The 24,067-nt window shown below is 40.5% G+C and overlaps 1 protein-coding gene across 5 annotated transcripts in view, besides 2 other annotated features; it reads right to left on the bottom strand.

The window, feature by feature from the left end:
- Positions 1 to 7,682: 7,682 nt before the first annotated feature.
- PSMA8 (proteasome 20S subunit alpha 8) overlaps positions 7,683 to 24,067 on the bottom strand; it is a 59,487-nt gene continuing 43,102 nt past the window's right edge. For all 5 annotated transcript variants that reach the window (XM_011525818.2, NM_001308188.2, NM_144662.3 and 2 more), the window contains 3 exons: positions 22,089 to 22,208; positions 21,908 to 21,970; positions 7,683 to 8,719 (listed from right to left, as the gene is read on the bottom strand). In XM_011525818.2, coding sequence (XP_011524120.1) covers positions 8,627 to 8,719; positions 21,908 to 21,970; positions 22,089 to 22,208 — 276 coding nt within the window. In that variant the 3' untranslated portion in view covers positions 7,683 to 8,626. The remainder of the gene's footprint in view (positions 8,720 to 21,907; positions 21,971 to 22,088; positions 22,209 to 24,067) is intronic.
- Positions 9,383 to 9,462: an enhancer, noted in NCBI's record as "active region_13180". NCBI's record gives its function as "activates an Ori minimal core promoter by ATAC-STARR-seq in GM12878 lymphoblastoid cells {active_cell/tissue: GM12878}" and the evidence as "EXISTENCE:reporter gene assay evidence [ECO:0000049][PMID:35858748]".
- Positions 10,171 to 10,280: an enhancer, noted in NCBI's record as "active region_13179". NCBI's record gives its function as "activates an Ori minimal core promoter by ATAC-STARR-seq in GM12878 lymphoblastoid cells {active_cell/tissue: GM12878}" and the evidence as "EXISTENCE:reporter gene assay evidence [ECO:0000049][PMID:35858748]".

The raw sequence follows: 24,067 nt of genomic DNA, 5'->3' as shown, positions 1-24,067 counted from the left end.
CAGCACTTTGGGAGGCCGAGGCAGGCAGATCACAAGGTCAGGAGATCGAGATCATCCTGGCTAACACAGTGAAACCGTGTCTCTACTAAAAATACAAAAAATTAGCCAGGCATGGTGGCGGGCACCTGTAGTACCAGCTATTCAGGAGGCTGAGGCAGGAGAATTGCTTGAACCCGGGAGGTGGGGGTTGCAGTGAGCCGAGATTGTGCCACTGCACTCCAGCCTGGGCAACAGAGCAAGACTCCATCTCAAAAAAAAAAAAAAAAGAAAAAAAAGAAAATGGCAGAGCCACAAAATGGAAGGGGAGCATTTCCTAGATTTTGGCTTAGAGGATTTCTCTCTACCAGCAATAGGATTTCATATTGAGAAATAAACTTCCATTGTGTAGGTTAATCTATTACAGTAGCTAGCATTACCTTAATACATAGGCAAAAGGGTAATTTCCCAAATAAATAAAAAGCTCCTACAAAGAAATGGATTTTTAAAAAAAGAAAAGAAAAAAGAAGCTCTTACAAATCAATAAGAAAAAAGACCAAAAACTCACAGGAAAATTAAACAAAGGATGTCAATCACTAACAGAAGGAGAATTCAAAGGCTTTCACACAAACATAAAGATGCTCAGCATCACCTATAGTAACAAAAATGAAAAGCAAAACCATATTGGGATTTTTTAATTTTTATTTTTGAGACAGAGATCTCATTCTGTCACCCGGGCTGCAGTGTAGTAATGAGATCTTGGCTCACTGCAGCCTTCATCTCTTGGGCTCAAGTGATCCTCCCACCTCAGCCTCTAAAGTAGGTGCTATGTGTCTGAATGCCTCCTGTTTCATTGTCAAATATTTGGTCTTCATCTCCCTTTCTGGGGTACAACTCCTAAAATCTTTGGAACCTCCACAGTGATATCTTTTTGTATGCTAATTATTAACTGATGGCTAGCAGCTCTTAGGCAGCTTCAGGATGGGAGCTGGTCACCAGAAAGACCTAGGCAGGATTAGAGGATCGGGACTTTCTGATCTACCACATGACCTCCAGGAAGGGGAGGGGGCTGAAGATTAAATTGATCACCAATGGCCAATCGTTTAATCAATCATGCCTATGTAATGAAGCCTCCATAAAAACCCAAAATAACAGGGTTTGGAGAGCTTCTGGGTAGCTGAACACATGGAGGTTCCTAGATGGTACACGCCCCTTCCCCCAGACCTCATCCTATGTGTCTCTCACTTTTTTTTTTTTTTTTGAGATGGAGTCCCGCTTTGTCATCCAGAGGAAGTGCAATCAATGGCACGATCTCTGCTCACTGCCGGGTTCAAGCGATTCTTCTGCCTCAGCCTCCCGAGTAGCTGAGATTACAGGTTCCCACCACCACGCCCAGCTAATTTTTGTATTCTTAGTAGAGACATGGTTGCATCATGTTGGTCAGGCTGGTCTCAAACTCCTGACCTCAGGTAATCCACCAGCCTCAGCCTCCCAAAGTGTTGGGATTACAGGAGTGATCCCCTGCACCCGGCCTTTTTTTTTTTTTGAGACAGTTTTGCTCTGTCGCCTAGGCTGGAGTGCAGTGGTGTGATCTCAGCTTACTGCAGCCTCGGCCTCCTGGGTTCAAGCGATTGTTGTGCCTCAGCATCCTCAGTAGCTGGGATTACAAGTGTGTGCTACCACACCCAGTTAATTTTTTGTATTTTCAGTAGAGATGGGGGTTTCCCTGTGTTGCCCAGGCTGGTCACCAACTCCTGACTTCAAGTGATCTGCCTGCCTCAGCCTCCCAAAGTGCTGGGATTACAGCTGTGAATCACTGTACCTAGCCCTCATCTTATGTATCTCTTCATCTGGTTATTTATCCTTTAAAATATACTTACATATACTTAAAATATACTTAGTAAAAAATCGGCAAATGTAAGGAAATGTTTCCCTGAGTTCTGTGAGCCACTCTAGCAAATTAATGGAACCCAAAGAGAGGGCTGCAGGAACCACAAACGACGGGTTGGTCAGAAGTTATGGAGGCCTGGACTTGCAACTGGTATCTGAATGGGGTGGGGGGCAGTCTTGGGAATTGAGCCCTTAACCTGTGGGATCTGACATTGTTTCCAGGTAGATAGTGTAGGAATGGAATTGCAGGATGCCTAACTGATGTTTGCTGTGGAATTGATTGCTTGATTGCTGGTGATGAGAAAATTCCCATATATTTGGGGATCACAAGGAGTCTTTTGTATTAACTGTTGTTGTGTTGTTGTGTGAGATAGTTTGCAAATTTCTGTAGGCTTACATATCTGGGAGCTGGATTGCTAGCTAAAAGGCACATACCTCTTTGACTTTGCTAGGTTTCACTCATATGCTGCCCAAAGCAGTTGTCTAGTCTACAATTCTAACAGCAGTAGATAAGAGTTCTTTTGGCTCCACATGCTCACAAACACTTTATACAGTCATTTTAATTTTTGTCAGTCTGATGGCTGTAAAAGAGTATCTCATCTTAGGTATAAATATACATTTCCTTTATTAGTCTGGTAGAACAACATTTAATATTTAATAGGATCCTTATAAGAGAAAATCATTTAGGTTTTTTCTTCTCCTGCCTTGGCCTCCAAACATGCTGGGATTACAGGTGTGAGCCACTGCACCTGGCCTTACCTATGCATTTAAAAGGATATTTGTTAGATCTTATCCAGCATTTCTATACCTGTAGTGAAAGTTTTTTCTACCTACTTAACCATAATCTAATGCTGGAAAGATGAGTTGTTAAGATAATTCCTAAAACCCAATATTTGTGATCATCTCACCTTGGGGATATGAGAGAGAAAAAACATAAAGTACTTGAGTATTGGGGATTTTTCTCTCAGTAAGATAAATAAAAGTAGCATTTTAAATAGGAATAATGTTTGAACTGTTAGAGGTGAACTGTTTACATGCATGATTCATTTTTCTGTTGTATGGTGTATTCCTTTCAATCAGCAGCTCTTTATAAATTCCAGACACACATCTTTTATCATTTATATGTATTACAAACATCTCCTATTTGTAGCCTGTCTTTTCACTTGTGTTATGGTCTCTTTTGATGTAGAAAAATTTACATTAATTTTCAGGTAGTTAAATTATCAATCTTTTCCTTAAGTATTGACACTTTTCATCTTGTCTAGACAATCTGTCCTTACCTCCAGGATCGTAAAGATATTTTTCTATATTGTCTTCTAAAGTTTTAAAGTTTAATTTTTTATATTTAGGTCTTTAATCTACCTGAAATTGATTTTTTAAAATAGTATTAAGTACAGGTTAAATTTTTTTTTTTTTTTTTGAGAGGGAGTCTCGCTCTGTAGCCCAGGCTGGAGTGCAGTGGCGCGGTCTCGGCTCACTGCAAGCTCCGCCTCCAGGGTTCACGCCATTCTCCTGCCTCAGCCCCCCAAATACCTGGGACTACAGGCGCCCGCCACCACGCCCAGCTAAATTTTTCGTATTTTTAGTAGAGACGGGGTTTCACCGCGTTAGCCAGGATGGTCTCGATCTCCTGACCTCATGATCTGCCCGCCTCGGTCTCCCAAAGTGCTGGGATTACATGCATCAGCCACCGCGCCCGGCCCTTTTCTTTCTTTCTTTCTTTCTTTTTTTTGAGACGGTCTCACTCTGTCGCCCAGGCTGGAGTGCAATGGCGCCATCTCGGCTCACTGCAACCTCCGCCTCCCAAGTTCAAGCGATTCCCCTGCCTCAGCCTTCCGAGTAGCTGGATTACAAGCACCTGCCACCAAGCCCAGCCAATTTTTGTAGTTTTAGTAGAGATGGGGTTTCGCCATGTTGGTCAGGCTGGTCTCGAACTCCTGACCTCAGGTGATCCGCCCGCCTACGCCTCCTAAAGTGCTGGGATTATAGGCATGAGCCACTGCACCTGGCCAGAGGTTCAATTTTCTTTCTTTTCAAATGAATAACCAGTCGTCCTATCATTGTGTATTGAAGAGCTTATCCTTTGCCCATTGATGCAATGCTAACTGCCATAAACCAAGTATCCAGTAAGCGTCTGGGTGTTTCTAGTCTCTATTATGCTTATTCCCTGTGCCAACACAACCGTATACACAGCAGAACCAGCATCTGCTCAGCTGCTTCTCTGATTTTCATAACTTTCTGTTTTCAGTCCCGGATTTCCCATCCCTTCTTGTGAGTTTACTTATGTACATATATATGTATGTACATCTGTATGTATTTACAATTTTTTTGAGACAGGGTGTCTCTCTGTTGCCCAGAACTGGAGTATAGTGGCAGGATCATGGCTCACTGCAGCCACTTCCTGGGCTCAAGTGATCCTCCTGTCTCAGCCTGCTAAGTAGCTGGAGCTACAGATGTGCACCACCACACCCAGCTAATTTTTAAATTTTTTGTGCAGATGGGAGTCTCACCATGTTGCCCAGGCTGGTCCCAAACTCCTGGCCTCAAGCGATCCTCTTGCCTTGGCCTCCCAAAGTGCTGGGATTACAGGTGTGAGCCACTGCACCTGGCCTTACCTATGCATTTAAAAGCATATTTGTTAGATGTTATCCAGCATTTCCATACCTATAGTGACAGATTTTTCTGTCTACCCACTTAACCGTAATCTAATGCTGGAAAGATAAGTTGTTTAGGTAATTCCTAAAATCAAGTATTTGTGATCATCTCACCGTGGTGACATGAGAGAGAAAAAACATAAAGCACTTGAATATTGGGGTTTTTTTCTCTCAATAAAATAAAAGTAACATTTCATTTAATTAATTAATTTATTTTTGAGACAGAGTCTCACTCTGTCGCCCAGGCTGGAGTGCAGTGGCACAATCTTGGCTCACTGCAACCTCTGCCTCCCGGGTTCAAGCAATTATCCTGCCTCAGCCTCCCGAGTAGCTGGGATTACAGGCACCCGCCACCGTGCCCAGCTAATTTTTTGAATTTTTAGTAGAGATGGGGTTTCACCATGTTGGCCAGGCTGGTCTTGAACTCCTGACCTCCGATGATCCACCTGTCTCAGTCTCCCAAAGTGCTGGATTACAGGTGTGAGCCACTGCACCCTATCTTATTTTATTTTATTTTTTTGAGACAGAGTCTCACTTTGTCACCCAGGCTGTAGTGCAGCGGCTCAATCTCGGTTCATTGCAACCTCCGCCTCCTGTGTTCAAGCAATTCTCCTGCCTCAGCTTCCTGAGTAGCTGGGACTACAGGCGTGCACCACCATGCCTGGCTGATTTTTTTGTATTTTTAGTAGAGATGAGGTTTCGCCATGTTGGTCAGGCTGGTCTTGAACTCCTGACCTCAAGCGATCCGCCCACCTCGGCCTCTCAAAGTGCTGGGATTATAGGCATGAGCCACTTTGCCTGGCCAGTAAAAGTAACTTTTTTTTTTTTTTGAGATGGAGTTTCTCTCATTGCCCAGACTGGAGTGCAGTGGTGCAATCTCAGCTCACTGCCACCTCTGCCTCCTGGGTTCAAGCGATTCTCCTGCCTCAGCCTCCTGAGTAGCTGGGATTACAGGCATGCGCCACCAGGTCTGGCTTTTTTTTTTTTTTTTTTTTTTGAGACGGAGTTTCACTCTTGTTGCCCAGGCTGGAGTGCAATGGCACGATCTTGGCTCACTGCAACCTCCGCCTCCCAGGTTCAAGCGATTCTCCTGCCTCACCCTCCCTAGTAGCTGGGATTACAGGTTTGTGCCACTACGCCCAGCTAATTTTGTATTTTTAGTAGAGACAGTAGAGAAGGGGTTTCTCCATATTGGTCAGGCTGGTCTCGAACTCCTGACCTCAGGTGATCCACCCGCCTCGGCCTCCCAAAGTGCTGGGATTACAGGCATGAGCCACTGCACCCGGCCAAGGCTAATTTTTTTTTTTGTATTTTTAGTAGAGACAGGGTTTCACCATGTTTGTCAGGCTGGTTGCGAACTCCTGACATCAGGTGATCCACCCGCCTTGGCCTCCCAAAATGCTGGGATTATAGGCGTGAGCCACCACGCCCAGCCAAAGTAACATTTTAAATAGCAATAACGTTTGAATTTTTTTTGGTTCAAACTTCACATTAGGGCTGGTCACAGTGGCTCATGCCTGTAATCCCAGCACTTTGGGAGGCCGAGTTGGGTGTATGTATCTCTTGACTTCAGGAGTTCGAGTCCAGCCTGTGCAACATGGTAAAACCCTGTCTCTGCTAAAAAATACAAAAAATTAACAGGGTGTGGTGGCGAGCAGCTGTAGTCCCAGCTACTCAGGAGCCTGAGGTGGGAGGATTGCTTGAACCTGGGAGGCAGAAGTTGCAGTGAGCCAAGGTGGCATCACTACTCCAGCCTGGGTGACAGAGGCCTCATCTAAAAACAAACAAACAAAAAACCAAACAAACAAAAGAACTTCACATTAAATAGAAAATCGTTTTGTATGGATCAGTGAAACCTGACCAAAATAATGCTATGATTTCCAAAGTAGAATAAATCAGTTGAGCTAAAACCAATTAGACTCTGATAACTAAGAAGAACTGAGTCACAGGAGTAATAAAGCTAGTGAGATTCAAAAAAACCTCTTGCCTCTCATGATACATCCTTGTGAGGGAGAGATTGGTGAGCAATGAGAAATGTTTCCATTCTGATGGACACTTGTGGTGGCAAAGCACTATAAGCATCAGCACCATGGGCATACATTATAAAACTTGTCTCAGAGTTGTTAAGATAATTAAATGTTAATATTTGCAAGTAATCTAAACAGTGTCTGGCATGCAGTGACTGTGGTATTGTATGAGTACTTGTCAAGTAAAAAAATAAGGGATGGAATTACAACCATATCCCTTAGATCGGGGGTCCCCAACCCCAGGGCCGTGGATCAGTACTGGCTTGTGGCCTGTTAGGAACCCGGCTGCACAGGAGGAGGTGAGTAGGGGGGTGGGGGGAGCGAGCATTACCACATGAGCTCTGTCACCTGTGAGATCAGTGGCGGCAGTAACAATTCTCATAGGAGGCCGGGCACGGTGGCTCACGCCTGTAATCCCAGCACTTTGGGAGGCCGAGGCAGGTGGTCACCTGAGGCCAGGAGTTCAAGACCAGCCTGGCCAACATGGCGAAACCCCGACTCTACTAAAAATACAAAAATTAGCTGGTCGTGATAGCACATGCCTGTAGTTCCAGCTGCTTGAGAGGCTATGGCAGGAGAATCACTTGAACCTGAGAGGCGGAGGTTGCAGGGAGCGAGATTGCGCCACTGCACTCCAGCCTGGGTGACACAGCGAGACTCGTCTCAAAAAAAAAAAAAAGATTCTCATCGGAGTGTGAAACCTGCTGTAAACTGCACATGCAAGGGATTGTGGGCTCCTTACGAGACTCGAATGCCTGATGATCTGAGGTGGAACAGTTTCATCCCAAAACCAACCCCACCCCACTCGGGGTTTCGCCATGTTGGCCAGCTGGTTCCGAACTCCTGGCCTCAAGTGGTCCGCCCATCTCAGCCTCCCAAAGTGCTGGGATTACAGGCATGAGCCACCACGCCTGGCCTTCCCCTACTATTTTCATTCCTCTGCAAAAACTGAACCTCTCCCCTCGTTTTCAAAAAAGAACATTAAGACCAGGTGCAGTGGCTCAGCCTGTAATCCCAGCACTTTGGGTGGTGGAGGTGGGAGGATTGCTTGAAGCCAGGAGTTTGAGACCAGCCTGGGCAACATAGTGAGACCTCATCTCTGAAATAAATAAACAATTAATTAAAACAACAGAAAGAATATTTACTAGCTTTTATTTTCAAAAATATAAACTCACTGTAGGAATTAAGCACATTCCTCTTGTGGACCATTTGGATTAAATCCTTTCCGTGGGCAGAGATCACTTTTTATATTTTTCTTGTTCCCCCAATAAGCCTTCCATAATACCAATCATAAAATACACACTCAGATATTTCATGGAATATGTAACAAACCGAACACACTGGACATACTTGAGATAAAATAAAAATCTAAACTAAAAGTGATATGTATTAATTTCTTTCCTTATTTTCATGTAGCATCCTGTTAAGATGCCCTTAGAAGCTCTTCCCATGCTTTAATTGCATGTTTGAATTCAGCCTATATTTGTTCCATGAACGAAACAATATATTGCAACTTGTAAAATGAAAAAGGTAAAATAAAAATAACGAAATATTGTAAAATGAAAAAGGTAAAATAAAAATAACAAAATATTGTAAAATGAAGAAGGCTCTGACAAAATTTTAAGAACTCATCAGTATAAGGATGCTTTTGTCATTCTTTGAGAAATGCAGCTCAATATTATATTTAGTTTATTTGGAATAGCTATGTCCTTAACTGACAGTCAATATTCAAACATCACCAAATTATTAAATTTTTTTAATTAAAAAATTTTTTAAAATTATATTTGCATATATGAAGGTAAGTAAGACACTGGACAAATTATAGAGTCTCAGGCTTATGTGGAATTATGACTGCTCTCAACAATTACTGAAATCCCCTTTCAAAGAAAATCTTCACATAAACCTATGTTTGACTATGTAATAGAATGAAGACAGCCACAGATCTGGCATTCTCAAAACATCACACAAGTACTGCATGTAATGCTGCAAAATAACTGTTTTCCTCTAAAATTTCACTAAACAACCTCAGGCAGTACAATAAAACAAAACATTAAGACCTCCCAGTGGTCATCCTAAGAATTAGACAGATTTCTTTGATTTTTTCTTCTCTGCTTCTTCCTTTTCCTTTTCTATTTCAGTTACATATAATTCAACTTCTTTTGCACTAAACATCTGAAAAGAGAAAAAAATTTAAAGATCAAATGTCAGTTATACGAATAATATGTAAATACAATATGAAGAATTCCAATATTTAATAAATTTATACTTTCTATGTACAACTTTATATTTTGTAACTTCAAATATACAATGAAGCATTTCAAGAGGTCTAAGAGCAATAACAATTATGGGCAAAACCAGATCTCTGACATTTCTACTATCACTGTGCTAAAAAAGAAAGCAGGACAAAAGGTGATATTGCGTTATATATCCTATATGTGCATATAACTCCAAAAACATTTTAATGCGAGGCTTAATTTTATTCATGAACAAAGACTCATTATTTAACTCTCCCAACTGCACCCTACTGTGTGATTCTCTGATAGGGTTTAATAATTTGATCAGTTTATAGAATAGCGAAATGAAATGGGAAAAGATAATTTATGCTACTTTATGTCTAAGTAGAAAGCAAAAAAGGTTTTATTTTTCTAAGAATTTGCAGTGTAGTTTGATTTTCTGTTGTACTGTTCACAAGTAGATCCAAGGTTACATGCTTGCGGCTATAAGACAGCAATTATTGGCCAAACCTGGTGACTCAGGCCTGTAATCCCAGCACTTTGGGAGGCCGAGGTGGGTGGATCAGTTGAGGTCAGGGGTTCGAGACCAGGCTGCCATTTTCTTTTTCTTTTTTTTTCAGACAGGGTCTCACCCTGTCGCCCAGGCTGGACTGCAGTGATGTGATTGCAACCTCTGCTGCCGGGTTCAAGCGATTCTCCCACCTCAGTCTCCTCAGTAGCTGGGACTACAGGTGTGTGCTACCACGCCTGACTGATTTTTGTTATTTTTAGTAGAGAGATTTGCATTTTCAGTACAGACAGGGTTTTGCCATGTTGGCCAGGCTGGTCTTGAACTCCTGACCTCAAGTGATCTGCCCGCCTCAGCCTCCCAAAGTGCTGGGATTACAGGCCTGAGCCACCGTGCCTGGCCAAGACAGCAATTATTAACTTCAGTGAAGTTAATACATTTATATACAAAAATCTAAATATAATGATCTTAATACTGAAAAGAGGTATCTATTAAATTGATAAATGAATGATCAACTTTATGGAAAGGCAAATTTTCAAAGATATTAGAGATGTAAAGGATTTTAGCTATTAGTCCATCACTAGAATTTACATATAAGAAAACATAGATTCACAAAGCTAAATTATATTTGGCCAAAGATTAAAGAAGGATTAAAGATTAGGTCTCTGATTCTTATTTCAACTCCAGAACTCTTTCCATTTCACCTATAAAGATGTGTGTCACAAAATCTGTATTTGTCAATAATCTACATAAAATATATTATTTGAACGTTTTATGAAATGAATTTACCCATCAAGCAATTACTAGGAGTTCCATGGGCTCTGAAAGTGGAAGAATATAATTCTTACCTGCTATTAAGGAGTCCACAGTTTAGTGGAAAAAAACTGGCATATAAATAGATCATTACAATACAAACCTGAATAAAGTGATGTGGTATTACTTGGGGAAGAAATAATTTCCTCCTTTGAAAAAGTGTCTTTCACTTTCTTTTTCCTTTTTGAGACCGGGTCTTGCTCTGCTGCCTACAGCTGAAGCACAGCGGCATGATCACAGCTCACTGCAACCTCTGCCTCCTGGGCTCAAGCCATCCTACCGCCTCAGCAACCGGAGTAGCTGGGGCTACAGATGTGAACCACCATGCCCAGCTAACTTTTGTATTTTTTGTAGAGACGGGGTTTCGCCATGTTGCCCAGGCTGGTCTCAAACTCCTGGGCTCAATCGATTTGCCTGTCTCGGCCTCCCAAAATGCTGGGATTACAGGCATGAGCCACTGCGCCCAGCCTCAAGAAGCCTTTTCAAAAAATTATTTTTAATTTTTATGAGTACATAGTAGGTATATATATTATGGGGTACATGAGATATTTTGATACAGGCATGTGATGCATAATAACCACATCATGGAGAATGGGGTATCCATCCCCTCAAGCATTTATCCTTTGTGTTACAAAAAATCCAATTATACTCTTTTAGTTATCTTAAAATGTACAATTAAATTGTTATTGACTATAGTTACCCTGTTGTGTTATCAAATACTAGGTCTTATAAATTCTATTTTTTTGTACCTATTAACCATCCCCACCTGCCCCTGCCCCCCACTACCCTTCCCAGCCTCTAGTAACCATCCTTCTACTCTGTATCTCCATGAGTTCAATTGTTTTGATTTTTAGATTCCACAAATGAGTAAAAACATGCAATGTCTGTCTTTCCATGCCTGCCTTATTTAACATAATGATCTCCAGTTCCATCCATGTTATTACAAATGACAGTATCTCATTATTTTTTTGGGGGCAGAACAGTACTTCATTGTGTGTAAGTATCACATTGTCTTCGTACATTCATCTGTTGATGGACCCTAAGGTTGCTTCCAAATCTTGGCTATTGTGAACAGTTCTGCAATTAACATGGGAGTGCAGCTATTTCTTCAATATACTGATTTCCTTTCTTTTGGGTATACACCCAGTAGTGGGATTGCTGGACCATATGTACTTTTATTTTATGTTTTTTGAGGAATCTCCAAACTATTCTTCATGGTGGTTGTACTAATTTACATTCCCACCAACAGTGTATGAGGGTTCCCTTTTCTCCATATCCTCACCAGCATTTGCTGTAGCTTGTCTATTAGATATAAGCCATTTTAACTGGGGTGAGATGATATTTTATTGTAGTTTTGATTTGCATTTCTCTGATGATCAATGATGTTGATCACCTTTTTTTTGGAGATGGGGTCTTGCTCTGTTGCCCAGGATGGAGTACAGTGGCACAATCATGGCTCACTGCAGCCTTGACCTCCCAGGTTCAAGTGATCCTCCCACCTCAGCTTCCCAAGTAGCTGGGACCACAGGAGCACACCACCACATCAGGCTAATTTTTAAATTATTATATTTGTAGAGACAAGGTCTCACTGTGTTGTCCAGGCTGGTCTGAAACTCCTAGGCTCAAGTGATCCTCCCGCCTTGGCCTCCCAAAGTGCTGGGATTACAAGCAAGAGCTCAGCCCAAGCACCTTTTTATATGCCTGTTTGCCATTTGTATGTCTTCTTTTGAGAAAAGAAGACATACAAATTCAAATCCTTCACCCATTTTTTGATCAGATTATTGTTTTTTCTCTTATAGAGTTGTCTGAGCTCCTTATACATTCTGGTTATTAAACCCTTGTCAGAAGGGTAAATTTGCAAATATTTTCTCCCATTCTGTGGGCTGTCACCTCACTTTGTTGATTGTTTCCTTTGCTGTGCAGAAGTTCTTTAACTTGATGTGATCCTATTTGTCCATTTTTGCTTTGGTTGCCTGTGTTTGTAGGGTACTACTCAAGAATATTTTGCGCAGACCAATGTCCTGGGGATTTTCTCCAATGTTTTTGTAGTAGTTTTATAGATTGAGGTCACAGGCTTAAGTCTTTAATCTATTCTTTTTTGATTTTTTATATATGGTGAGAGATAGGGGTTTAGTTTCATTCTTCTGCATATGGATATCCAGTTTTCCCAGCATCCTTTATTGAAGAAACTTTTTCCCAGTGTATGTTCTTAGCACCTCTGTCGAAAATGAGTTCACTATATATATGTGGATTTGTTTCTGGGATCTCCATTTTGTTTAATTAATCTATGTGTCTGTCTTTATGCCAGAACCATGCTGCTTTGGTTACCATAGCTCTGTAGCATAATTTGAAGTCAGGCAATATGATTCCTTCAGTTTTGTCCTTTTTGCTTAGGGCAGCTTTGGCTCTTCTGGGTCTTTTGAGGTTTTTATATAGATTTTATGATTTTTTTTTATATTTCTGTGAAGAATATCATTGGTATTTTGGCAGGGATTGCATTGAATCTGTAGATTACTTTGGGTAGTATGGACATTTTAAAAACATTGATTCTTCCAATCCATGAACATGGAACACCTTTCTATTTTTTTTTTTTTTGGTGTCCTTTTTTGATGTGGGCACTTATAGCTATAAACCTCCTTCTTTGTAATGCTTTCACTGTATTCCATATGTTTTGATATGTTAGGTTTTCATTATCACTTGTTTCAAGAAAATTTTCAATTTTTTTCTTAATTTCTTCATTGACTCACTGGTCATTCAGGAGCATATTGTTTAATTTCCATGTATTCGTATAGTTTCCAAAATTCCTCTAGTTACTGATTTCTAGTTTTTTTTTTCCACTGTGGTCAGAGATGATGCTTGATATTATTTCAATTTTTTGAATATTTTAAGGCTTATTTTGTGACCTAAATATGGTCTATCCTTGAAAATGGTCCATATGCTGAGGAGAATAATGCATATTCTGCAGCTGTTGGATGAAATGTTCTGTAAATATCTATTAGATACATTTGGTCTACAGTGCAGTTTAAGTCTGATGTTTCTTTGCTGATTTTCTGTCTGGAAGATCTGTCCAATGCTGAAAATGGGGTGTTGAAGACTCTAGCTATTATTGTATTGGAATCTATCTGGTTTTTTTTAGCTCTAATAATGTTTACTTTACATATCTAGGTTCTACAGTGTTGGGTGCATATATATTTAAGACTGTTATATCTTCTTGCTGAACTGACCCCTTTATCATTATATAGTGACCTTTTTTGTCTCTTCTTATAGTTTTTGCCTTGAAATCTATTTTGTCTGATATAAGTATAGTGACTCTGGCTCTTTTTTGGTTTCTATTGGCATGAAATATCTTTTTCCATCTCTTTTTTTCAGTCTATGTTTGTCTTTATAGGTGAAGTATGTTTTTCGTAGTCAACAGATCATTGGGTCTTTTTTTTTAAATCCATTCAGTCATTCTATATCTTTTGATTGGAGAGTTTAGTCCACTTACATTCAATGTTATTATTGATAAGTAAGAACTTATCCTCCTGCCTCAGTCTCCCCAAATGCTGGTATTACAGGTGTGAGCCACTGCTCAGACCTCACTTTTTTTGAAGCAGACTCTTGCTCTGTCGCCCAGGCTGGAGTGCAGTGGCATGATCTCAGCTCACTACGACCTCTGCCACCCTAGGCTCAAGTGATTCTCCTGCCTCAGCCCCCTGAGTAGCTGGGACAACAGGCGCACACCATCACACCCGGCTAATTTTTTGTATTTTTAGTAGAGATGGGTTTTCACCATGTTGGCCAGGCTAATCTCAAACTGCTGACCTCAGGTGATCTGGCCGCCTTGGCCTCCCAAAGTGCTGGGATTACAGGCATGAACCACGGTGCCCAGCCTGGTCCATCCTTTCATGGAAGAATCCTGGCATTAAATGAGAAAATGTTTTAAGTTCTACCTTTCTACTGATTCCTGGCCCCAAGTAGGTGTTTATATCTAACTTCCTAGGCTAGGGAGACAAGTATCCTTCTCCAGGGCAGTTTAATCCAAATGTTTACCTCTGGCTTTCAGTGTAGTATTCATTTTTGGTTCCTGGGGATTTTCTTTTAGTTCTTGCAGAAGCTCAGCTATGTCTTTAAAAAACTAGTTATATTTCATCTAGAATTGTCCTCATGTTTTACAGCAGAAGAGTTTTTATATTATCTAATCCAGCATAATGCCAGAAACTGAAGTTGTAGAAGTCTACTTATATACCTTAAGTCAAGCTATTTCCTGTCAAAGTGTTAAAATTTCAGCACATAGTCAGTGATTTAAGAAGTACATATGTAAAATTAAGAGATTTTATGTTTTTCATATTTAGTAAATACTATTTACTTCTTAGTAACTTAGATACAACTGGAATTGCCAAGGATAGGTCAGAGAATAACTAGAAAACCAGTCCACCTCTAAAATCAGCTTAAGAATAAGGGGTAGAGGCATCAAATAATAAAGGTTTACACTACTCAGTAAATTTCTTATATCTTATGTGTTTTTCTAATTTAATAATACAGTACTCATCATAACCATATGTGGAAAGGCTATTAATCCACAGATAAGAAAACAGAAACAGAGAAGTAATTTGTTTACACTGGGAAATGGTAGAGCTGGAATTTGAACTAGGGTAGCTCTAGAGCCTCACTTTGCGTTTTTTTTTTTTTTTTTTTTTTTTTTTTTGAGACAGAGTCTCCCTGTGTTGCCCAGGCTAGAGTGCAGTGGCGTGATCTCAGCTCACTGCAACCTCTGCCTCCCAGGTTCAAGTGATTCTCCTGCCTCAGCCTCCCAAGTAGCTGGGACTACAGGTGCCCTCCAACACACCCAGCTAATTTTTTTTTGTGTGTGTATTTTTAGTAGAGACGGGGTTTCACTATGTTGGCCAGGCTGATCTTGAACTCCTGACCTCGTGATCCACCCACTCGGTCTCCCAAAGGGCTGGGATTACAGGCATGAGCCACCATGCCCATCCAGAGCTCCATTTTTGATCACTTCACTGAACTGTATCCCACACAAAGATTTATCAAAATTGAGAATGCAATAGGATTTGTAATATTTTCATGTGGAGTCCATTAAAAATGAAAACAAATAAGTTATTCAAGATCCACAAATTAAAACTCTGTAAAGAAACAAAATTGAAACTATTTCTATATACATTGAAATTTGGCAAAACTGGTTTAAAACCAGACGCAAGTCTATTTTAAAATAATTTTCAATTAAGCAATTTCAGACTCTGAAGACATTTGAAAAACTTCCTAGAGAATACATTATGGTTGATTCCCCAAACATCCATTCTATATCAGTGCTTAACATTAGCCAACCAGCAAACAGAATCTTCTAGAGACTGTTCTAAGGATGTCTTCAGTCTTCCAATCAGATTGAAGGGAAGGACTTACATTCCAGAGTTAGGGAAGTTCTCCCTCTCCTATAAAAGGTTAACAGGAAAATAAATCATTCTGATTGCCTCTGGTGGTCATGAGAGGAATCAACCTTACTAGAACACACTAACTTTAGGATGAAGCCAATATTCAAAGTTGCAGAGTGGAGGGACAGGAAAAATCTAGATACATGAGAACATCGTTGTGTTGTTAAACACACTGTGTCTGGAGCAGGTTTATACTTTCATCTGTGAGAAAAAACGATTTCTTGTTCTTTAAGTCACTATGAGTTGGAGTTTTTTTGTTTTAACTTATAGACAAAAGCATTTGTTCTAACACATTAACCTCTGCTTAATTTCTCCTCAGGTCAATGGGAACTAATTTTTTTCCAAGGAGAATTTTCATTTTCAGTAGAAACAATTTTCAAATGTCTGCCAAAAACAACTTTTTTTTTTTTTTTTTTTTTGAGATGGAGTTTCGCTCTTGTTGCCCAGGCTGGAGTGCAATGGCATTATCTTGGCTCACTGTAACCTCTGTCTCCCGGTTCAAGCGATTCTCCTGCCTCAGCCCCCTGAATAGCTGAAATTACAGGCGCCAGCCACCACCCCTGGCTAATTTTTTGTATTTTTAGTAGAGATAGGGTTTTACCATGATGGCTAGGCTGGTCTCAAACTCCTAACCTCAGGTGATCCACCCGCCTTGGCCTCCCAAAGTACTGGGATTACATGCATGAGCCACTGTGCCCGGCTGCCAAAAACAACTTTTTTTTTTTTTTTTTTTGAGACAGAGTCTTGCTCTATCGCCTATGCTGGAGTGCAGTGGCGCTATCTCGACACATCGCAACCTTTGCTTCCTGAGTTCAAGTGATTCTCCTGCCTCAGCCTCCTGAGTAGCTGGGATTACAGGCACATGCCACCATGCCCGGCTAATTTTTTATATTTTTAGTGGAGATGGGGTTTCACTATGTTGGTCAGGCTGGTCTCGAACCCCTGACCTCAGGTGATCCACCCGCCTCAGCCTCCCAAAGTGCTGAGATTGCAAGCGTGAGCCACCGCGCCCGGCCAAAAACAACTTCTAATAGATCTTCAAAAACCAGGTGAGAAGGAATAGAGGAAGGAGAAAGAGTGCTTAGTATTACTACTGACAAACTCACTTCTCCTCATATTTTGGTGGCCTAAGATTACAGTGAAAGGTAAATTTTTTGTTTATAGTTGTAGAAAATGACAAGCTTTACATAACATTCTTTACGTTCTTTTTAAATTTTTCATCTAAGGTAAAAAGATACAGCTGCTTTAAGCCAGAATAAATGACTGAAACAGACTACATATTGATATTCTCTCTCTGTTTATGAATACACATACAGGCATACCTTGGAAAAATTGTGGATTTGGTTCAGGACCACAGCAGTAAGGCAAATATTGAGTCACATAAATGTTTTGGTTTCCCAGTGCATATTAAAGTTATGTTTACACTATACTGTAGTCTATTGAGTGTGCAATAGCCTTATGTCTAAAAAAATCAACATATCTTAATTTGAAAACACTTTATTGCTAAAAAATGCTAACAATCATGTAAGCCTCCAGCAAGTAGTAATCTTTTTGCTGGTGGGGTCTTGTCTTGATGATGGAGCTGACTCATCAGGGTAGTGGTTGCTGAAGGTTGAAGTGGCTGTGGGAATTTCTTAAAATAAGACAACAATGAGGTTTGCCACATTGATAGACTCTTCCTTTCCCAAAAGATTTCTCTATAGCATGAGATGCTGTTTGATAGCATTTTACTCACAATTGAACTTTTCAGAACTGGAGTCAATCCTCTCAAACCTTGTCACTGCTTTATTTATGTAACACTCTAAATGTTTTGTTGTTATTTCAACAATATTTACAGCATCATAACCAGGAGTAGATTTCATCCAAGAAACCACATTCTTTTCTCATCTTTAAGAAGCAACTCATCATCTGTTTTATCACAAGATTGCAGCAATTCAGTTGCATATTCAGGCTCCACTTCTAATTTTAGTTCTCTTGCTATTTGTACCACATCTGCAGTGACTTCCTCCACTAAAGTCTTGAACTCCTGAAAGTCATTCATAAGGGTTGGAATCAACTTATTCTAAACTCCTGTTAATGTTGATATTTTTGTTTGTTTGTTAATTTTTTTTTTTTTAGACGGAGTCTTGCTCTGTCACCCAGGCTGGACTGCAATGGTGCGATCTTGGCTCACGGCAACCTCTGCCTCCCAGGTTCAAGCGATTCTCCTGCCTTAGCCTCCTGAGTAGCTGGGATTACAGGTGCCCACCACCACGCCCAGCTAATTTTTGTATTTTCAGTAGAGACAGGGTTTCACCATATTGATCAGGCTGGTCTTAAACTCCTGACCTCAAGCAATCCACCCACCTTGGCCTCCCAAAGTGCTGGGATTACAAGCATGAGCCACCACGCCCGGCCTTTTTGTTTGTTTTTTTTGAGACAGAGTCTCGTTCTGCTGCCCTGTCTGGAGTGCGATAGCATGATCTTGGCTCATTGCAACCTCCAACTCCTGGGTTCAAGCAATTCTCCTGCCTCAGCCTCCTAAGTAGCTGGGATTACAGATTCCCCCCACCACACCCAGCTAATTTTTGTATTTGTGGTAGAGACGGGGTTTCACCATGTTGGCCAGGCTGGTCTTGAACTCCTGATCTCAAGTGATCCACCTGCCTCCGGCCTCCCAAAGTGCTGGGATTACAGGCATGAGCTACCGTGCCCAGCCAATGTTGGTAGAGACACAGTCTAACTATGTTGCCCAGGCTGATCTCAAACCTCTAGCCTCTAGCAATTCTTCTGCCTTGGCCTCCCAAAGTGTTGAGATTATAGGTGTGAGCCACTATGCCTGGCCATATTTCTTGAATAATAAGACTTGAAAGTCAAAATTACGCCTTGATGCATGTGCTGCAGAAAGATGTGTTAGCAGGCACGAAAACATTAATTTCCTTGTACATGTCCATCGGAGCTACTGGGTGACTAGGTGGACTGTGAATGAGCAGTAACATTTTGAAAGGAATCTTCTTTTTTTGAGTGTTAGGTCTCAGTAGTGGGCTTAAAATATTCAGTATACTATGCTATAAATAGATGTGCTGTCATCCATTGATTGTAAATGAGCACTGGCTTCTACTTAAAGTTACCAGCTGCATTATCCCCTAACAAGACAGTCCGTCCCTTGAAGCCAGGCAGTGAGGTGATTTCTCCTATCTCTAGCTATGAAAATTTTAGATGGTATCTTCTTCCAGCAGAAAGCTGTTTCATCTACATTGAAAATCTGTTGTTTAGTATAACCACCTTCACTGAAGATAAATGTCTTAGCTAGATCTTCTGGATAACTTGCTGCAGCTTCTCCATCAGTACTTGCTGCTTCACCTTGCACCTTTATGTTATGAAGGTGGCTTCTTTCCTTAAACCTCATGAACCAACCTCTGTTAGCTCCAGCCTTTTCTTCTTCCGCTTCCTCACCCCTCTCAGCCTTCACAGAATTGAAGAAAGTTAGGACTTTGCTCTGGATTAGGCTTTGGCTTAGAGGAATGTTGTGGCTGGTTTGATCTTCCAGCCAGGCCACTAAAACCTCCATATCAGTAACAAGACTGGTTTTTTTTTTTTTTTTCAGATGGCGTCTCACTCTGTTGCCCAGGCTGGAGTGCAGTGGTGCCATCTCAGCTCACTGCAACCTCCGCCTCTCAGGTTCAAGCGATTCTCCTGCCTCAGCCTGCCGAGTAGCTGGGATTACAGGTGCGTGCCACCACACGTGGCTAAATTTTGTATTTTTAGTAGAGACAGGTTTTGCCATGTTGGCCAGGTGCGTGCCACCACGCCTGGCCTGGCTGTTTCAGTTTCTTATCATTCACGTGTTCCCTTGCAGTAGCACTTTAAATTTCTTTAAGTACTTTTAATTTTCTTAAGTACTTTTCCTTTGCATTCACAATTTGAATAACTTGCACAAGAGGCCTAGCTTTCCACCTGTCTTGGCTTTTGACTGCCTTCCTCACTAAGCTTAACAATTCTAGTTTTTTTATTTAAAACTCATGTGACAGACATGAGACTCTTCCTTTCACTTGAACACTTAGAGGCCCTTATCGGGTTATTAATTGGCCTATTTTCAATATTGTTATGCCTCAGGCAATAGGAGGCCTGAGGAGAGGGAGAGACACAGGTAAATAGCTGGTCAGTGGAGCAGTCAGAACACATGCAACATTTATTGATTAAGTTCACTCAGTGTTTTTTATATGGATGCAGTTCATGGCACTCCAAAACAATTAGCACAGTAATATCAAAGATCATTGATCACAGATCACCGTTATATAATAATTACATTGTCACTATATTACACATATAATAATAATAATGAAAAAGTCTGAAATATTCTGAGAGTTATCAAAAATGTGACAGAGACACAAAGTAAGCACATGCTGTTGGACAAATGGAATTGACAGACTTGCTCAACACAGGGTTGCCACAAACCTGCAATCTGTAAAACACCATTTAACGAGCACTTACTATAAAAGGATACTACCATCTCACACCATTTCATTTACTTATCACAACGGCCCTTTGATGAAGGTATCGTTAGACTCATTTTATAGGGAAGAAAACTGAAAGCTGAAGATGAGAGCAATTTGCTCAAGGTCATGTTGTTAAACAAATGTATCTGCTGGAACTTAATCCTAGTCTACCAACTCCAAAGCATGTGTTCTATTCCCTACATAGCCTATCCTAAAGTATCATGTGGAAGACAGTATAACACTGCTGTCAGTAAGCATACCATTCTATCACTCAAAAGCAAAAATATGCATATAACTCTGTGTGTGTGTGTGTGTGTGTGTGTGTGTGTGTGTCTATTTTTATATGCATAGGTATATTATGGAGCAGAAGAGGCAAACTCTGGCCTCAGTGGTTTCTGTGCCCTTGTGGTGTTGCTGCATCTGTCCCTGGGCTCTTAGCAGCAGGGGTGACAAAAACCTGGATAATACCCATTTCCACACTCTGTGCTCAGCACTCTGTAATTTATGTGGGGCTCTGCAGGGGCAAGCTCCACTGTCTTGTCCCCATTTCTCTTATTTATTGAAACTTTGCTGCTGTCTTATCCTCATATCCCATCTGTTAGTTGAATAATAAAGGGTAGGAAATTGATGTCAAAGCAACCATGATGACAAAAACAAAAACAGAAACAAACAAACAAAAAACCCCAGTGCTCCAGATGGCACTAATTTTAACACTACTTGAAATATTTTCCTTAAAACCAAAGAAAAGATATATGTAAAACAATCTTCAAAATAATTTTTTTTGAGATGGAGTCTTGGTCTGTTGCCCAGATCACTGGCATAATCTCAGCTCACTGCAACTTCCGCCTCCCGGGTTGAAGTGATTCTCCTGCCTCAGCCTTCCAAGCAGCTGGGATCACAGGCGTCTGCCACCACGCCCAGCTATTTTTTTTGTATTTTTAGTAGAGACGGGGTTTCACTATGTTGGCCAGGCTAGTCTTGAACTCCTGACCTCAAGTGATCCATCCGCCTCAGCCTCCCAGAGTGCTGGGATTACAGGTGTGAGCCACCGCATCTGGCAACAATCCTTTTTTTTTTTTTAATTTAATTTTTAATTTTTTTTTTTCATAGAGATGGGGGTCTTGTTACCTTGCCAAGGCTGGTCTTGAACTCCTGACCTCAAGTGATCCTCCCACCTCAGTCTCTCGAGTAGCTGGGATTACAGGCGTACACTGCCATATTTGAGTATAAAACAATCCTTTAAGTATATTTCTTATATAGTTTCCCAAATTTTGAGTGCTTTTTTACAATCTCAGCTAAAGAGAGCTAGCTGGCAAACTATGTTGTACAGTTGGTTCTACCTAATGAACAATAGTGAACTACATTTCAAATGCTCTTTAGCCAGTGGGTCCTCTATCACAATATCCTGAACATTTTATTTTGTAGTCCAGCAGTTTTAACCCATAACGGCTGACAGACGTTATACATATAATAACATGAGACTTGCCACAAAGAAATATGGAAAGGTTATCGTGCTACGTATTAAAGTTTAAGTCTCACAAGACGCTCAAGGCACTTTCAAATGTAAAGTAATGGAAATACATAAAAATCAGTAGACAGGACGACTGCGGTGGCTCACAGTTGTAATCCCAGCACTGGAGGCCAAGGCGGGCTGATCGCTTGATTCTAGGAGTTAGAGGCCAGCCTGGGCAATGTGGTGAAATCCCGTCTCTATTTAAAAAAAAAAAAAAAACACAAAAAACAAACAAAAAACCGGTAGACGGTCAGAAATGAGTGGAGGTTATTTGACATTAATGAAGGATAACATTATATCGGAAGCCTAGAGGCCAACAACTTTTTAACTTTTGTCAAAATACTTTATACTACAGATACTTTTTCCTCTTTGGTTAATGACTTACCTTCAAAGGTTGATTTCTTCTTATTATAGCAAGTTCAATGTTTTTTCCACCAGACTGGACAACCTAATGTAGAACAAGTACACTATTAGAATTATTTCAGCAAATTTTGTGTTTAATAAACAAAAATGGATGAGGAAAAAAAATTCATGATTTCCTGAATATGCTTTATTAGATCACTTACTTCTAGCAAAGCTTTTATTGCTAACTTGATAGCTTCACTGTCACTTGCTATGGCATCTTCTGTGTAATTCTTTTCTAGAAATTCTCGAACAGTTTTAGCACTTCGGCCTATTGCATTTGCCTTGAAAAATAAAAGTTAATTTATTAATATCATTGCAGTAGGAATGAATTTATGGTTACTAAGTAAAGTTTAGAGGTTTGGAGTTTACTCCAGTATACCTTAATAAAATTACCAAATGAAAATTACAGATTTGAAAACATAGCAAACATTTCAGTAGCTCATTTGGTTACTATCAGAATAGTCTGTAATGGTGGCATGGTTTTTATTTTCCTTTTTTTGTTTGTTTTAGAGATGGGATCTCACTCTGTTGCCCAGGCTGGAGTGCAGTAGTGGCACAATTATAGCTCACTGCAGCTTTGATCTTCTGGGCTTAAGTGATTTTCCCACCTGAACCTCCTGAGTAGCTGGGACTACAGGTATGCATCACCACACTCAGCTGATTATTTTTTTGGTAGTCTTGCTATGTTGCCCAGGCTGTTCTCAAACTCCTGGCCTCAAGTGAGCCTCCTGTCTCAGCCTCTCAAAGTGTTGGGATTACAGGCGTGAGCCACAACATCTGGCCAACTTTTTCTTTTAAATATACCAATGCTTTGTCCTGGCTAACACTTTCTATTAATATAATGTCTCCCAAATCCTTGATAACCAGAAATTATTTTATTTATATATTCTTTTGAAACAGGGTCTCACTTTGTGGCCCAGGCTGGAGTGCAGTGGTATGATCACTGCTCACTGTAGCCTTGGCCTTCTGGGCTCAAGGTATCTTCCTACCTCAGACTCCCAAGTAGCTGGGACTATTGGTACGTGGCACCACACTTGGCTAATTTAAAAAAGAATTTTTTTTAGAGATAGGGTCTTGCTATGTTGCCCAGGTGGGTCTCGAACTCCTGGACTCATGTGATCCTCCCAGCTTGGCCTCCCAAAGTGCTGAGATTACAGGCATGAGCCACTGTGACTGGCTCAGAAAAGATTTTAAAAAGCTGAAACTTGAAAAGATGTGGAGAGGCAAGGAGCTATAACTTTACAATATGGCACAAAAAGAAGAAAGCAAAGAGAGGGGAAAAAAATGACATCAACATGAAGAAAGCTATTTACCTAAGTTGGGCTGAGCACTATTTTTGTAGATTTTAGAATAAGTATAGTGGTAACCTAATTGATTTGTTATCATCTTTGACTCTTAAGCAAGAAGGGCTTCTATTCCTTTCCTCTTTTCTTTGTTCTTTACACATTTTCATCAGATGAAGGAAAAATGCAAATGGATTTTCCTGGCTGCATGGCTATGGGTAGAAGGCAGCATATTCTTTTAATTCAGCCTAAATATCCAGATTAGTACTCCTGATGGTAATAAGATTTTAAATTTTATATTAACAGAACACTTATGTGTCAGGCACTAGGTTAGGCATTTTACATGGATTATCTCATCTAACCATCACAAAAATGATTAAATAGGTACTGTTACTAACCCCAATTCTTGGATGTAGAAATGGAGGTTTGGAAAGGTTAAAATAGGCTTTCTCAATATCATCACTGTTCACATTTTGGGCCAGCTAATCCTCTGTTGTGAGGGCTGTCCTGTGTATTGTGGGATTTTTAGCTGCCTCCACAAACTAAATGCCAGCAGCAACTCCCACCCCAGTTGTGACAACCAAACATATCTCTTGTCAAAGACATTGTCAAATGTCTTTTAGGTGGGACAAAATCAGCTGTTGGTGAATTACTGACTCAAGTAATCTTGGCCAAGATCATGCAGAGAGTAAGCAGAAGAGCTAAGCTTTGAAACCGTGGTCTGAATCAACAAGCCAAGCTTTTAACTTGATACACTATGCTGCCACATGCCCCTTTCCTAGGATGATTACAGAGTAAAAAGAACAAACACAAAGGTCTATCCTTTCACTGGCATTAAATGGGGGAATGTCTCAGTT

The sequence above is a fragment of the Homo sapiens genome, chromosome 18 (assembly GCF_000001405.40).
Source record: "Homo sapiens chromosome 18, GRCh38.p14 Primary Assembly".
NCBI classification, from domain to species: Eukaryota; Metazoa; Chordata; class Mammalia; order Primates; family Hominidae; genus Homo; species Homo sapiens.
The sequence above is the reverse complement of the archived record's forward strand: the minus strand, read 5'-3'. Positions and strand labels throughout refer to the sequence as shown.